At 48.2% G+C, this 14,058-nt stretch overlaps 1 annotated feature.

Annotated features, from left to right (window-relative positions):
• Positions 5,610–6,184: an enhancer, noted in NCBI's record as "H3K27ac-H3K4me1 hESC enhancer chr20:48196657-48197231 (GRCh37/hg19 assembly coordinates)". NCBI's record gives its function as "activates a minimal SCP1, AML or CMV promoter by ChIP-STARR-seq in naive H9 embryonic stem cells {active_cell/tissue: H9 hESC(naive)}" and the evidence as "EXISTENCE:reporter gene assay evidence [ECO:0000049][PMID:30033119]".

Genomic DNA, 14,058 nt, shown 5'->3' on the forward strand with positions numbered 1-14,058 from the left:
ACTAATGTATACTTTATCTCTGAACTTTTTAGAATCCTTTTGGTTGAATGTTCTTTGTACCAGTTAAATTAGAATAGGCTGCTTTCTACTCTTGGAGCCTTGGTACATCTGTACAAGAGGATGATGACGACAAGGCCCCCCTCCCATGGTGGTTGGACGAATTCAAGAAGATCTTGTGTCTAGTGCATGCAGTAGGCACTTAATAAAAGAGATGATGCTAGGCCGGCTGCAGTGGCTCACGCCTGTAATCCCAACACTTTGGGAGGCTGAGGCAGGAGGATCATGAGGTCAGGAGTTCGAGACCAGCCTGGTTAACATGGTGAAACCCCGTCTCTACTAAAAAATACAAAAATTAGCTGGGTGTAGTAGGGGACACCTGTAATCCCAGCTACTCAGGAGGCTGAGGCCGGAAAATCATGTGAAACCAGAAGGGCGGGGGTTGATCGCGCCACTGCACTTCAGCCTGGGCAAAAGAGTGAAACTCTGTCTCAAAAAAAAAAAAAAAAGAAAAGAAAGAGAGATGAAGCAAGGCTGGGCTCAGTGGCTCACGCCTGTAATCCCAGCACTTTGGGAGGCTGAGATGGGTGGATCACTTGAGGTCAGGAGTTCAAGACCAGCCTGGCCAACGTGGTGAAACCCCGTCTCTACTAAAAATACAAAAATTAGCCAGGAATGCTGGCGTGCGCCTGTAATTCCAGCTACTCAGGAGGCTGAGGTGGGAGGATTGCTTGAACCCGGGAGGTAGAGGTTGCAGTGAGCCGAGATTGTGCCACTGCACTCCAGCCTGGGCGACGGAGTGAGACCCTGTCTTAGCAACAACAACAACACAGCAGCAGCAGCAACAGCAACAACAACAAAAGAGATGAAGCATAATTCTTTCAGCACATATTACCAAGTATTTATTTGCCAACACTGTGCAGGCCTCTTTATCAAGAATTTTACTGAAGAAATGAAAGACAGAAAACCTCTTCACTTGGTCTTTTTTATACATGAAGAGAAAGCAGGTCTGAATCAGAGGCAGAGGGTTGGAAGAAATGACCTGTTTTCTGCCATCTGGGCCTTGCTGCTGACTGTCTCTAAGAATTTGCACAGGCCTGGGCCTTTGGAGATTTGAAGGTCTCTAAAGTGCAAGGATGTCAGCTGCAGGGGAGCCATCCTCCAGCATCCTTCCCCAGGAGAGCCAGGATTATGTAGGGAATGTGCTTGGCTAAGAGCCCAGAGGTGGGGCAGCTACCCAGATGCAAACATGGCTGGGCCAGGCGGCCTTTCGTTCAGCGTTCCCAGGCTAATTCCACCTAGACCTTGTCTTAGCCTGTGAGAGGATGTTCTGGAGTGGTCTTGCCCCTCTTCCCAGGCTATCTGCCAGAGGTGGTGGGTGCTACAGGAGAGGGACTCCAGCAAGCTTCTCATCCTTTGGTTTTCCCAGGACGGGGGACAGGTGGCCTCACGGCTCCCAACCAGCTGCCTTGGCACTTTGTAGTGGAAAAAATGATGAAGTCAGACCTCAGTCTCCTCAACTCCCTGCTGTCCTGCCTGAGAGCCAGCCTAGCATGGAAGGCAAGGAGAAAAGAGACCCATGTTGATCTGTCACCCAGACAGACCCTGAGTGATGATGCTCCTGCCACCCTGAAGCACCCCAAGAACCTCAGAACTTCTGGCTTCTCATCTTGAAAATGGGACAGCAGTCATAGCTGCTTTGCTTATTATGTCAAGGAGTTACTAAAGAGGATCCAGTTAGATAGTGGGGGTAGAAAAATGGCTGCCTAAGGCCACATTTACCCTCTCCTTCTAGAAATTATACCAGAGCATCAAGAATAATGGAAAAACAAATATACAAAACCAAACCACAAACTCCATTTTTAGCAAAGCCAGGAGAGACATATAATTCATCGGCTTCAGAGTACGTGTGAAGCAGCTAAGACAGGGCAGAAGCCACATGGGAGTGGTGAGTGGGCTCAGTGATAGCAAATCTCAGAAAGCATCAGCAAAACTACACTTCCTAGGGATGAGGGCTTGCCATGAGATGAAAGTTATGTTCCTTCTTTATAAAAATGAATGTAGAAGCTTGGGTGAATACGATTAGCAGCAGAAGCTCTCCTGGATCTCGTTTGGTTCAGAGAAACAGAGGAGGTATAGTGAAGAATTACAGAGAGAAGACATATTTGCAGGAAGCAGTCTGTCTCTATGGCAGCAGAGGAGAGCCACAGTTACAGAGCCCATGAAGCTACCCTAATTCTTCCTTACACCCATAGGAGCAATCAGCAAAATACCTGACCCAGGAAAACCAAGCCCTTCCAATGACAAGCTTTTGAAAAAGTGTAAAAGCCTTGATACAAAGATATTATGATAAATTATGAAGAGCAGAAAAATCTACCAATAGATGAAAGTGTTAACACAAAATGGATGAAAATTATATCCAAATCATATTGGCATAAATTCAAAAAAGAATTGAATGGAGGCTGGGTGTGGTGGCTCACGCCTGTAATCCCAGCACTTTGGGAGGCCGAGGCAGGTGGATCACCTGAGGTCAGGAGTTCAAGGCCAGCCTGGTCAACATGATACTCTCGAGGCTGAGGCAGGAGATCGCTTGAATGTGGGAGGCAGAGGTTGCAGTGAGCTGAGATCATGACATTGCACTCCAGCCTGGGCAACTAGTGAAACTCCGTCTCAAATTTAAAGAAAGAAAGAAAGAAACATCTTAGGAGAACTGAATGGAGCAACTACCTCTGTGAAGGAGGACAATAAGGAAACTGAAGAACTCAAAAAGAAGGCAGGCAAAAGGAGGTAATGAACATGAAGGGTTAGCACTCAGGAAAGAAGTAGAAAGAAAAAAAAATATCAGAAATGAAGACAAAATTGGAGGGGAAGGAAATAGGCCCTGCAGAAAATACAGCAAGGACACGGTTAACAGAAATGGAAAAAGAGGAAAAAAATGAGACAGAAATAAAGAAAACATTAGAAAGACTAGAAAGAAAATTGGCTGGGTGCTGTGGCTCATGCCTGTAATCCCAGCACTTTGGGAGGCCAAGGCAGGCAGATCACTTGAAGTCAGGAGTTCAAGACCACCCTGGCCAACATAGCAAAACCCCATCTCTATTAAAAGTACAAAAATTAGCCGGGCATGGTGGCACACACCTGTAATCCCAGCTACTCGGGAGGCTGAGGCACGAGAATCACTTGAACCCCAGAGACAGAAGTTGCAGTGACCTGAGATTGAGCCACTGCACTCTAGCCTGGGCGACAGAGCAAAACTCTGTCTCAAAAAATAAATAAATAAATAAAAATAAATAAAGGTGTGAGCATCCATGCACCAGATAACACAGCAACAGATAGTTACAGAGCAAGGACATTTTAAGTCACTTCTCTCAGCTCTTGAAATACCAAGGGAAAAAAAAAAGGAAATAGAAAGTCAAAATAACATAGTGAACCACAAACACTGGCTACCTAGTAAGCCACAAAGAACATGGCAATAATTTTTTTAAAAGCAGAATAAAAGTACAATAGTCTCAGATCGCAATGCAACAAGCCTGTGTGACCTCCATTCCTCTCCCTCCCACCCCAGCACCTCCCCAGAGGGCAATAATCCCCCAGCCCCACTTCACCAGGCATCAGCTCCTGTGTCTGTTCCATGTTAGATCATGTTAGATCTCATCTTGGCCAGACACGGTGGCTCACGCCTGTAATCCCAGCACTTTCAGAGGCCGAGGCAGGTGGATCACCTGAGGTCAGGAGTTCAAGACCAGCCTGGCCTACATGGTGAAACCCCATCTCTACTAAAAGTACAAAAATTAGCTGAGCATTGTGGCAGGCACCTGTAATCCCAGCTACTTGGGAGGCTGAGGCAGGAGAATCGCTTGAACTGGGAGGCGGAGGTTGTGAGCTAAGATCGCGCCACTGAACTCCAGCCTGGGCAACAGAGTGAGATGCTGTCTAAAAAAAAATCTCATCTCAAACACACAAACATTTCACTGCTTTAAAAAAAAAAAAATAGAAATCTTTGGTGGATGTTCAGCCACGCTCATGGTTCACAGCTCCAAACTCTGATGCACAGGCAATCACATAGCCCAAATGTCTACATGTCCTGCATGTCCGCAGAGGGCTAGAGTGAGAGAGCCTGGGCTCCACGGCCAGACTATGTGAACTCAAAGCCTGGCACCCGCCCCCCCACTTAAAAGGCCTCAGGCATATTGCTTATCTGTGCCTTTGTTTCCCCAGGTGTCAAATGGAGTTGGTTGTGAGGATGAAAAGAGTTAATCTCTGGAAGTATGGAAAGCCTTGGATAAATGTGGGCTATTAGCATTATTTTCACAGCCTCCCAACCTCCCTCCACTAATACCAGACACGCTGGAGAGAGTTCTCTGTCTCCCTAACCATTTATTTGGTGATCAGAAGGACCTTCTGCCTGTGATTTCTGACCTGGCAGGATACTGGGGGACCACTTTTGCCTCTGCCTGGAGATAGCATGTCTGAGAATGAAACCGACTTACAGGGCAGCAGAACCAAGAGATAGGGAAATACAGTTTCTTGAGATATCATTTGAACCCCCGGATTCAGCCATGCCTGAAGCCAGAATGCTCCTGACCACATGAACCATTAAATTATTTTTGTTTGCTTGTTTCAGCCAATTTGGGTTGAGTTTCTTTCACTTGCAATAGAAGAAAGTTCTCCATTCTGAAGCTGAATAAGGTAGTATGTGAAGTACTTGTTTCATACCTGGTGCTTAATGGATGAAACCTTATTACATTCTCATTTCGTAAACCTTCTCCAGGGCTTTCTGGGAGGCAACCAGATATGAATTAGAGTGACACAGCTTTGCACTCCTTGCCCAGCCTGGATAAGATGCCCCATTCGCAGCAAGCTCTATGCAGTCAGGGCCAGCTTCATGGACATGCAACCTGGGTGCTCACATAGGCCCCTGCACCCAGAATGGTCTCATGCTCGGCTTAGCGCTCTCCTGTCACCAGCTTGAAATTCTTAATTATTTTTGAACAAGGGTCCCCATGATTTTACTTTACTCTGGTACCCACAAAGTATATAGCTGGTCTTAATACCAGTATCATCTCCACTTTCCAGGTGAGGAAACTGAAGCTCAAAGAGGGGAAGCAAGCAGCCCAAGGTCACACAGCAAGAAAGGGGTGGAGCTGGGAATCAAATTCTGATTCTGAGGCCCAAGTTCATAACTGCGATGTGCCAGTGCCTGGACAATTCCTCATATGTGGATGGCACTTCACAGTTTATACTCTAGTGCATAGCATTTGACCCTCATACCAGCTTTAGAAGCAGAAATTGTCATGCTGGCATCAGGCAGAGTACTTGGGTTTGTTCAAGCCTCAGAAACCAACCCTGGCTAATTTAAGAAAAAGAAAAGGTGGGGACGAGGTATTGGAAGGAAAAGTTGACCAGCTGGGACTTGGAAAGGACAGGAACAAGCAGCTCCGGGAACGCGGGGAGCAGGAGCCAGGGGTGTGGGGAGCAGGAACCAGTGGCCAGGTCTTCGGGGCTCCAGCTGTTTCCAATCTCAGCATTCCTTCCGCTTCAGTTTCTGATTCTCCCACGAGAAAGTCTGATTGGCCATGTTTGGGTCATGTGCCTGCCCACAGACCTTGATGGTCAACCAAACAAGGTGGGAAGGATGATCCCCCAAAGGCGGGTCAGAAAGTGGGGTGGGAGGGCTGAAAGCTGGGCAGGGACGGCTGTGTGCGCATTTTACAGATGAGGAATGGGAAGCCCAGACAGAAGGCAAGGCCACAGAACCGGGAATGGTGGAGTCTGGGCTCCAGTCAGAGGCCCAGGCTGCCTCTCTTCACTCCCAGGACTCCAGGCTGGCAGGGGAACAGGAGGGCATTGTTCTCCCTGTTGGAGTGAATGGCCGCCTCCTGGGAAACCCAGGACCCAGATGGGGTCTCCCCAGGGCGCAGGAAACTGCCTCAGACTGAGCTGTATTCAGGGGTCGAAGCCTCCTCCCCACCCTCCCCCTACAGTGGACAGACTCCCCCTTCAAATCCAACCTCACTGCTCAGCTCTAGCCCTATGGTTTTTAAGAGAAGCTAGTGGGGGAAAGGCTTATTTTTCCAATGTGCATTTTTTCCGGTATGTAAGATACTGTGTGGACCAAATAAAATATGTCCAGACCTGGAAACAGCCCAAGCATAGCTAGTTTATAAGTCCTGGAATGCTCCTTCCTGCACACAAAAATTAAGGGTCTGTTTACATAGATATGCTAGTGTGTTGGAGTTGAACTTTTCCTTACTCTGAACTCAGATATGCAAAGAAAAATGAGCCTTTTACATTTTCCATGGATGTCATCTAGTTCAGTGATTAGGAGCAAGAGACATGCTGGAGCCAGAGAACCTGGGTTTACATCTTGGCTTTGCCACTATGTGACCTCAGGCAGGTCACTTAACTTCTCTGAGTCTCAGTTTCCTTTAAGGGACATATGTACACACGGGTGTGGCATTTAATAAAAACCACAAAAGTCCCTGCTACTGCTCTGTGTCCATGGTATGATGTTGGTCATGAGCCCTCACACTGGAAGAAATACAAAATCTTAAGCCAGGCTAATCATTTAAACTGTCTATTTAGGCAAGACAGGCTTCCCCTGGGGTATTTCAGGGACAAACTCCATTGATCAGTTTCCCACCTTCCTCTGCTCCTCTTCAAGAAGCTTCTGCCTGAACACCACTTTGGTAACAGGGAAACTGAGCTCCGAGGAGAGAGGTCAAGGTTAGGAAATGTCATTTAGTGAGTGTCCCTTCTGCACAAAGCCGTATAGGTACGCAAGCTCCTTGAATCCTCATAACCATTCTGGATGGAAAGAATCAGGACTCCCTTAACCAACATTGTGGAGCTTGCAAGTAACGGAGGCAGCATTAGATTCCAGGATGTTCAACTTCGAGGCCTGCCTTTTCTCTGCTCCTATTAACTGTGTATTCCCATTCCTGGTCATAAGGCAAGATTCAGAGGCATCTGTGCTCCAATTGACCATGGCGCTTGATCCCAAAAGGAAAAACTCTTTCTCTCTCTCTCTACCTGATTAACAATAATAATAACAATAATTTAATGGCTCAAGCAGGGAAAGTCCAGTGGTGGGAAATCCTGGCTTCAGGGAACTGGGAAGAAAAACAGCTTCAGGAATGGCAGGATCCAGGGGCTCCATGGATGTTGCCAGGACTCACTTCTCTCTCTAAGCAATGCTTTCCTTTGTATTGGCTTCTCCCTCAGGCAGCCTCTCCCTGTTTTGTATCAAGATAGCCTTAGCAGTCCTTATGCCCTGGCAGCTTGGTGATGCCAGCAGAAGGAGACTCTGGGACTAACTCTGGTTGGCCTTATTAAGGTCAGATGCAAATCCCTTTACTTCTTTCTCTAGCTCATATCGGTCAGGCCTGCGTCGCCTTCCCACTTCTAGATCTGGAGGTAGAGACTAGGGTAGTTTTCTCACATTGATGCCCTAATTAATGACCTTCCTGCATCCGAGCCCTTTGCAGTGTGAGTTTATTTCCACATGATCTGAATCTGGGCTTGGCCTTGAGACTTGCTCTGACCACTGGAATCCAAGGGAAGTGATGCTGTGCCTGCTTCCAACCTAGGCTTCAAGAGTCTTCTTCACTTCTCCCCTCTCTGTTGGAACTCTGGATAGCCACCATGAGAACAAACCTGGGCTAGCCAGCTGCAGGAGGAGAAACCATCTTAAGAAGTGCCTGGTCCCCCAGCAAAGACTAACAGCGCAACAGCCAGCTGACCTATCAGAGTTTGTTTTTTAAGCAATCTTATCTACCTTCTTGCAGGACTAGGATTGACAGATGACAAAAAAAAAAAAAAAAAAAGAGTTAAGGCACATCTGTAAAGCTAGAAATTGGAAGGCTGCTAGGGTTTGAATCCTGGCATGGCCATTCCCTAGCTATTAGGCTTAGTTTCCTGTGGCTGTTATAACAAATTGCCACAAACTCGATGGCTCAAAACAACAGAAGTTTATTCTCACACAGTTCTGGAGGCCAGAGGGTGAGCATCAGTTTCACTCAGCTGAAGTCAAGGTGTCAGCAGGGCCATGCTCCCACAGAGGCTCTGGGGGACAAATCACTCCATACCTCTTCCAGCTGCTGGTGGCTGCCAGCATTCCTTTGCTTGTAGCCACATCACTGCCATCTCTGCCTTGGTCTTCACGTTGTCTTCTTTTCTGTGTGTCTGTCCACCCTCCCTTGGTCTTCCTCTTACGAAGCATATGACATGCATGCTTTTAATACATGTGATAACATTTAGAGCCCAGCAAGATAATCCCAGATAATATCCTCATCACAAAATCCTTAATTTGATCATATTTGCAAAGACTTTACCATATAAGGTAACATTCACAGGCTCCTGGGATTAGGAGAACCTGATTTCTTAGAGGTCCACCATTCAGCCCACTGTACTAGCATGTGGCTCCAAGTGAGTGTCAACCTCACTGTGCCTCAGTTTCCTTATCTGTAAAATGACAGCAGCCACCTCACTGGGTAATTATGAAGATTTAATAAGTACTTAGAATGGTGACCAGCACATGATAAAAGCTTTGTAAATGTTAACCTTCAATAATATCAAGGGTCGGTCGGGCGCGGTGGCTCACACCTGTAATTCTAGCACTTTGGGAGGCAGAGGCGGGAAGATCGCTTGAGCCCAGGAATTTGAGACCAGCCTGGGCAACATGACAAAACCCAGTCTCTACAAAAACAAAAACAAAAACAAAAAACCTAGCCAGGCGTGGTGGCATGTGCCTGTAGTCCCAGCTACTTGAGGGGGCTGAGGCACAAGAATCTCTTGAACCCTGGAGGTTGAGGCTGCAGTGAGCTGAGTTTGCACCACTGCATTCCAGCCTGGGGGGCAGAGAGAGACTCTGTCTCTAAAAAAATAATAATAATAAGATTTGACTGTGACTGAAATTCGCACAAGAACAAATCCCTTCTCTGTCCTGTTTGCTCGCGCCTGTCTTCATAGCACCCACCATGGAGACTTGCACATAGTAGGTGCTCAGTAAATATTAAATGCACACATGCCACTATGTAGCTGTGTGGCTTCAAGCAAGTTGTTTCTCCTCTCTGGTCCTCAGTTTCCTTCTCCCTTCACGAAGAGCTTCTTGTAGGGAAAGTCCATTCCTCTTTCTGGGAGGGTGTGTCCCCATCAGGGGTAGAGGGTTCAGGGGTCAGGAGCCGGCCACAGCTGCTATCTCCCTGAGTCACCAAATTTCTCAACTTGAGGCCAAGTGTCTAAATATTGTGACTGAGCCAGTTAGAGATAAGATGTGGAAACATTGATTTGGCCCAAGCAACTGCAGTCACGGTGCTGGAGCCAGACCTCCCTGGATCTTCTCAGCAGCATGAGTGAGTGTTTAGCACCTGCCAGGAACACAGGCTGCTGACCTGCAAACAGATGGGGAGGCCCAGATGCCTGGCTTGGCAGCAAGAGCCTGCCTTTGCCGTCTCTGTTTACACAGCCAGCATCCAGTCAAATCTCTGTGGCTCCAGTGGAGAAACTAAGGCCCAAAGGGAGTGAAGGATGTGTCGTCCAGGGTTACGCTGGGAGACTGCTATCCCATGAAGCTAAAACCCGCAAGTCCTAACTCCCAGCCCAGCACCTGTGGGAACCCACCAGGCCCAGGGAGAAGGAAGGCTGGCAGCGTGTCACAGGCAGGGAGCGTGCCTGAGCAAATGCTCAGGGGTGAAAGACCAGATGCAAGCTCAAACACTAGAGTGAATGGGAGAAAAGGCCACGTGTCCAGGACTTTGGACTCAATTCAGAGAATAAAAGGGAACCATCGATGGTTTTAGGAAGAAGAGCAGCAGGATCTGAGAGGCTTTTTCCAAGTGCTTATAGACCACCAGCATCAGAATCGCCTACGACAGGAGCTGGGGGAGGTTGTCAAAATGTGGGTTCCTGGGGTCCACCCTAGATGTGGCTCCCCATTGTAGCAGGCCCCCTCTGAGGGGATTCTGAAGCACACCCACTGTTTTAGTGAGTAGGAGATGCAGCTAACATCCCACTTATAAGGTCTAATCTCAGACAAACCTGGTTTCAAATCCCAGCTCTGCCACTTACTTGCTCTGTGATTTTAGGTCACTTACGACACCTCTCTGAGCCTGTTTTCTCTCCTCCGTAATGAAACAATCTTAGCATTTGCCTCAAAGGTTTGTTCTAAGGATTCAATAAGATAATGTAGGTAAAGTGCTCTACATAGATCCAGAGCCCTCCTAGTGCTCAAAAACACTGGTTTTTAGAGATTCCCTTGGGCAGCAGTGGGGAGAAAGCAATGGAGGAGGGCAGGCAAGGAGGCAGGGAAGCCAGTGAGGAGGCAGCAGTGGGACTCCGGGGAGAGGTCTGTGGCTAGGGTGTGGACATGGTGACGGGTGGGGTGGCTCCTTTGCACCGTGCCAGGTGGTGCCGATCTTGTATGCTCGATTGCGAAAGAAGCTCTCTGGAGTTGGTCTAGGGCAGGAGAGAAGAGGATGAGCAAAAAAACCAAAAGAGGTTGATCATAAAACCCATATTCGCAGTCACGGACTGGGTGCTTAGCGTGGGCCAGGCCCCGTGTTAGCTGCTTCCTGATCTTCATCCTCACAACCACCTGACAGTGTGGGTAGCACTTCATCAGGGGTTGTTAACCCCGACACTAGTGACACTTGTACTGGATAATTCCTTAATTAAGGGGCTGTGCTGTGCACTGTCAAATATTTAACAACACCCCTGGACTCTACCCACTAGATGCCATTAACACTCCCACCTTCCAGTTATGACAACCAAAACTGTCTCCAGACATTACCAGAGGTTTCCCGGGAGGCAAAATCACCCCTAGTTAAGAACCAGTGCTTTATTCTCCTTTTACAAGGAGGGAATTGAAGGCTCAGAGAGCCAAAGCCCTTTGCCCACAGTCTCCCAGCTAAGAAGTGGCCGGATTTGAACTCAGGTCTGACTCGGAGCCCCGGATGTTAACCTTTGCCGTGAAGGAGGCCACATCTATGCAGTGGCAGGCCCAGATGGTCTATATGGGGGTCTTGGGGACAGTGGTCTTTTCCGAAGGGGCAGCTGGAAACACCTGCTAAGCAGATGGGCTGCGTGAGCGTTTGTTGGGGGTGGTTGTAGAAGCGATGATGGGGATTATGAGAGAGCCAAATCCCCCTCCAGAGGCTACCACCATTTGCCCTGGACAGAGGGACTGAGGGAGATGGGACGTGGAGGGCAGGCAAGAAGGACCAAGGTGGCACTGTTAGGAGAAGCTGGGTGAGGTCATCTATGCCTGGAGCCCCACTGCCGGGAGCCTCCCAAAAACACTCTCCAAGACCTTTGGGCTAAATATTTATCCTGTGAATGCTCTTTTCCTTCCTGCATGGGGAGTGGGGCTTTGGAGGTGGGTCCAAGAAATTTGGGGAGACAGAATCCAGAGAAAGAGGAAGGGGACAGGCCAGAGGTCAGAGGTCAGGAGAAAGTAGTCAGAGGCCAGGAATAAACATTCATCCTGGCATCTAAAGCCTTCCAGAGTGAGCTCCACTGCCACCACAGCCATCTCACTCAGGGAGGCGTAGAATTCAAAATATGTTTTTGTTTTCTTAAGAGACATGGGGAATAAAATTACAATTTTTTTTTTGGTCCAGTCTTTTTTTTTTTTTCTTTTTTGAGACAGAGTCTCACTCTGTTGCCTAAGATGGAGTGCAGTGGCGCGATCTCAGCTCACTGCAACCTCCGCCTCCTGGGTTCAAGCAATTCTTGTGCCTCGGTCTCCTCAGTAGCTGGGATTACAGCCACCCACCACCATGCCTGGCTAATTTTTGTATTTTTAGTAGAGACAAGATTTCATCATGTTGGCCAGGCTGGTCTTTAACTCCTGACCTCGAATGATCTGCCCACCTCGGTCTCCCAAAGTGCTGGGATTACAGGCATGAACCACCATGCCCGGCTCAGTCTTGATATTTTTAAGCAAGGGAGTTGGAGGTGAAGGGAAAATTAAGTCAAAAAATCTTACCCAGAGGACAGGTGTGGTAGCTCACACCTATAATCCCAGCACTTTGGGAGGCCAAGGCGGGCAGATTGCCAGAGGTCAGGTGTTCGAGACCAGCCTGGCCGACATAGTGAAACCCCATCACTACTAAAAATATAAAAATTAGCCGGGTGTGGTGGCGGGTATCTGTAATCCCAGCTACTCAGGAGGCTGAGGCAGGAGAATTGCTTGAACCCGGGAGGTGGAGGCTGCAGTGAGCCGAGATTGAGCCACTGTACTCCAGCCTGGGTGACAGAGCGAGACTCTGTTTAAAAAAAAAAAAAGGCTGGGCGCAGTGGCTCATGCCTGTAATCCCAGCACTTTGGGAGCCTGAGGAGGGCGGATCAGGAGTTTGAGACCAGCCTGGACAACATGGTGAAAACTTCTCTCTACTAAAAATACAAAACTAGGCGGATGTAGTGGCGCACACCTGTAGTCCCGGCTACTCAGGAGGCTGAGACAGGAGAATCGCTTGAACCTGGGAGGCAGAGGCTGCAGTGAGTCAAGATTGCACCACTGCACTCCAGCCTGGGCAACAAGAGCAAAACTCTGTTTCAAAAAAAAAAAATCTTATCCAGAGAAGAAGTCATTTTTTTAGACACAAGAATACTTTGTTTATACAGATGGTTGCTATAAAAGGCCTGACTTTGTGCCGATAGAGAAGATGGATTTATGGTGAAGGCAGCTCCTGAATGAGCTCAGTAATCAAAGTCAAGGTCCTGCCAGGTTAAGCTGCAGCAGGCTCCGCTCCCTACCAAAAATGACAGGCTCTGCTCCATCTGATGGGTTCTGCTCCAGATGATGGAACTCATAAGGGCATCATGCTGTCAAACGGTTTTACTGCCAAGACTGTTGTTCATGTGTCCAAAGCATCACGTCTAACCTCTAGGTTACGATGACCCCAGAGCTTGCAAATCTTGGTGGAAGAATTGCACGGAGCCTGAAGTATGTTTTTCATCGGAAATGGTGCTCATTAAAGAAATACGTGCCTGTTAGCCATCACTTGGATTGTACATGACATCGTTGATGTTGCGTGTGTGTGTGTGTGTGTGTGTGGGTGCACGCACGCACTTGTGTGTTTACATTTTCTTTTCCTTCTTTGTTCCTCCACTAAAGCAGAAAAAGTGTTAGAAGATGTTTAAGAGAGATGTGGAAACAGAGAGAAATGCAGTTTTATCCACTCTTCTCTCTTGTAAGATAAAAAATGTGTCTCTGGGCAGGGCGCGGTGGCTCACGCCTGTAATCCCAGCACTTTGGGAGGCTGAGGTGGGCGAATCATGAGGTCAGGAGATCGAGACCATCCTGGCTAACACGGTGAAATTAAACCCCATCTCTACTAAAAATACAAAGGATTAGCCAGGCGTGGTGGCGGGCGCCTGTAGTCCCAGCTACTCGGGAGGCTGAGGCAGGAGAAAGGCTGAACCCAGGAGGCAGAGCTTGCAGTGAGCCGAGATCCGCACTCTAGCCCGGGCGACAGAGCAAGACTCCATCTCAAAAAAAAAAAAAAAAAAAGTGTCTCTGGGTGTTTTTAAGCCAAAAGCCATTCTTCACCAGGAGGGCTTGTGGGAAAGCAGATTCTGACTCAGTAGGTCTGGGGTGAAGCCTGGGATGCTACTTCTCCAATGCACTCCCAGGCAACGCAGCAGCCGCCAGTCTGGGAGCCATGCCTGGGAGTGGTGGGGCCTTAGCACACAGTGTGTGTCCCTGCCTCTGGACACCTCCTGCCATCCCTGCTCTTCCCTCCCGCTGCTAAGTCTCGCCCTGGTCTCCCTGCCTTCTTAGAGATGGCGCTTCCTTTAGCAAGTGTTTGCTCCACTTAAGGATTCAGGGAACATCCGGGCTGGAGAGATGCTGGAGACCATCCCGTCCAACTCTCTTCAGTTCCCAGTTGCTTTTGTGGCAAGAGCTAAAAACCCAACTCAACCCACACACGTTTATATAGACTTGTGGAAAATACAAAGGGCTTTTTTTTTTTGGTGCGTTTTAAAATATAAATGGTATCATATTGTGTGCGTCATTCTGTGCCTGTTTTTCTCTCTTAGTAACCAATCTTGGAGGTT

The sequence above is a fragment of the Homo sapiens genome, chromosome 20 (genome assembly GCF_000001405.40).
Source record: "Homo sapiens chromosome 20, GRCh38.p14 Primary Assembly".
NCBI classification, from domain to species: Eukaryota; Metazoa; Chordata; class Mammalia; order Primates; family Hominidae; genus Homo; species Homo sapiens.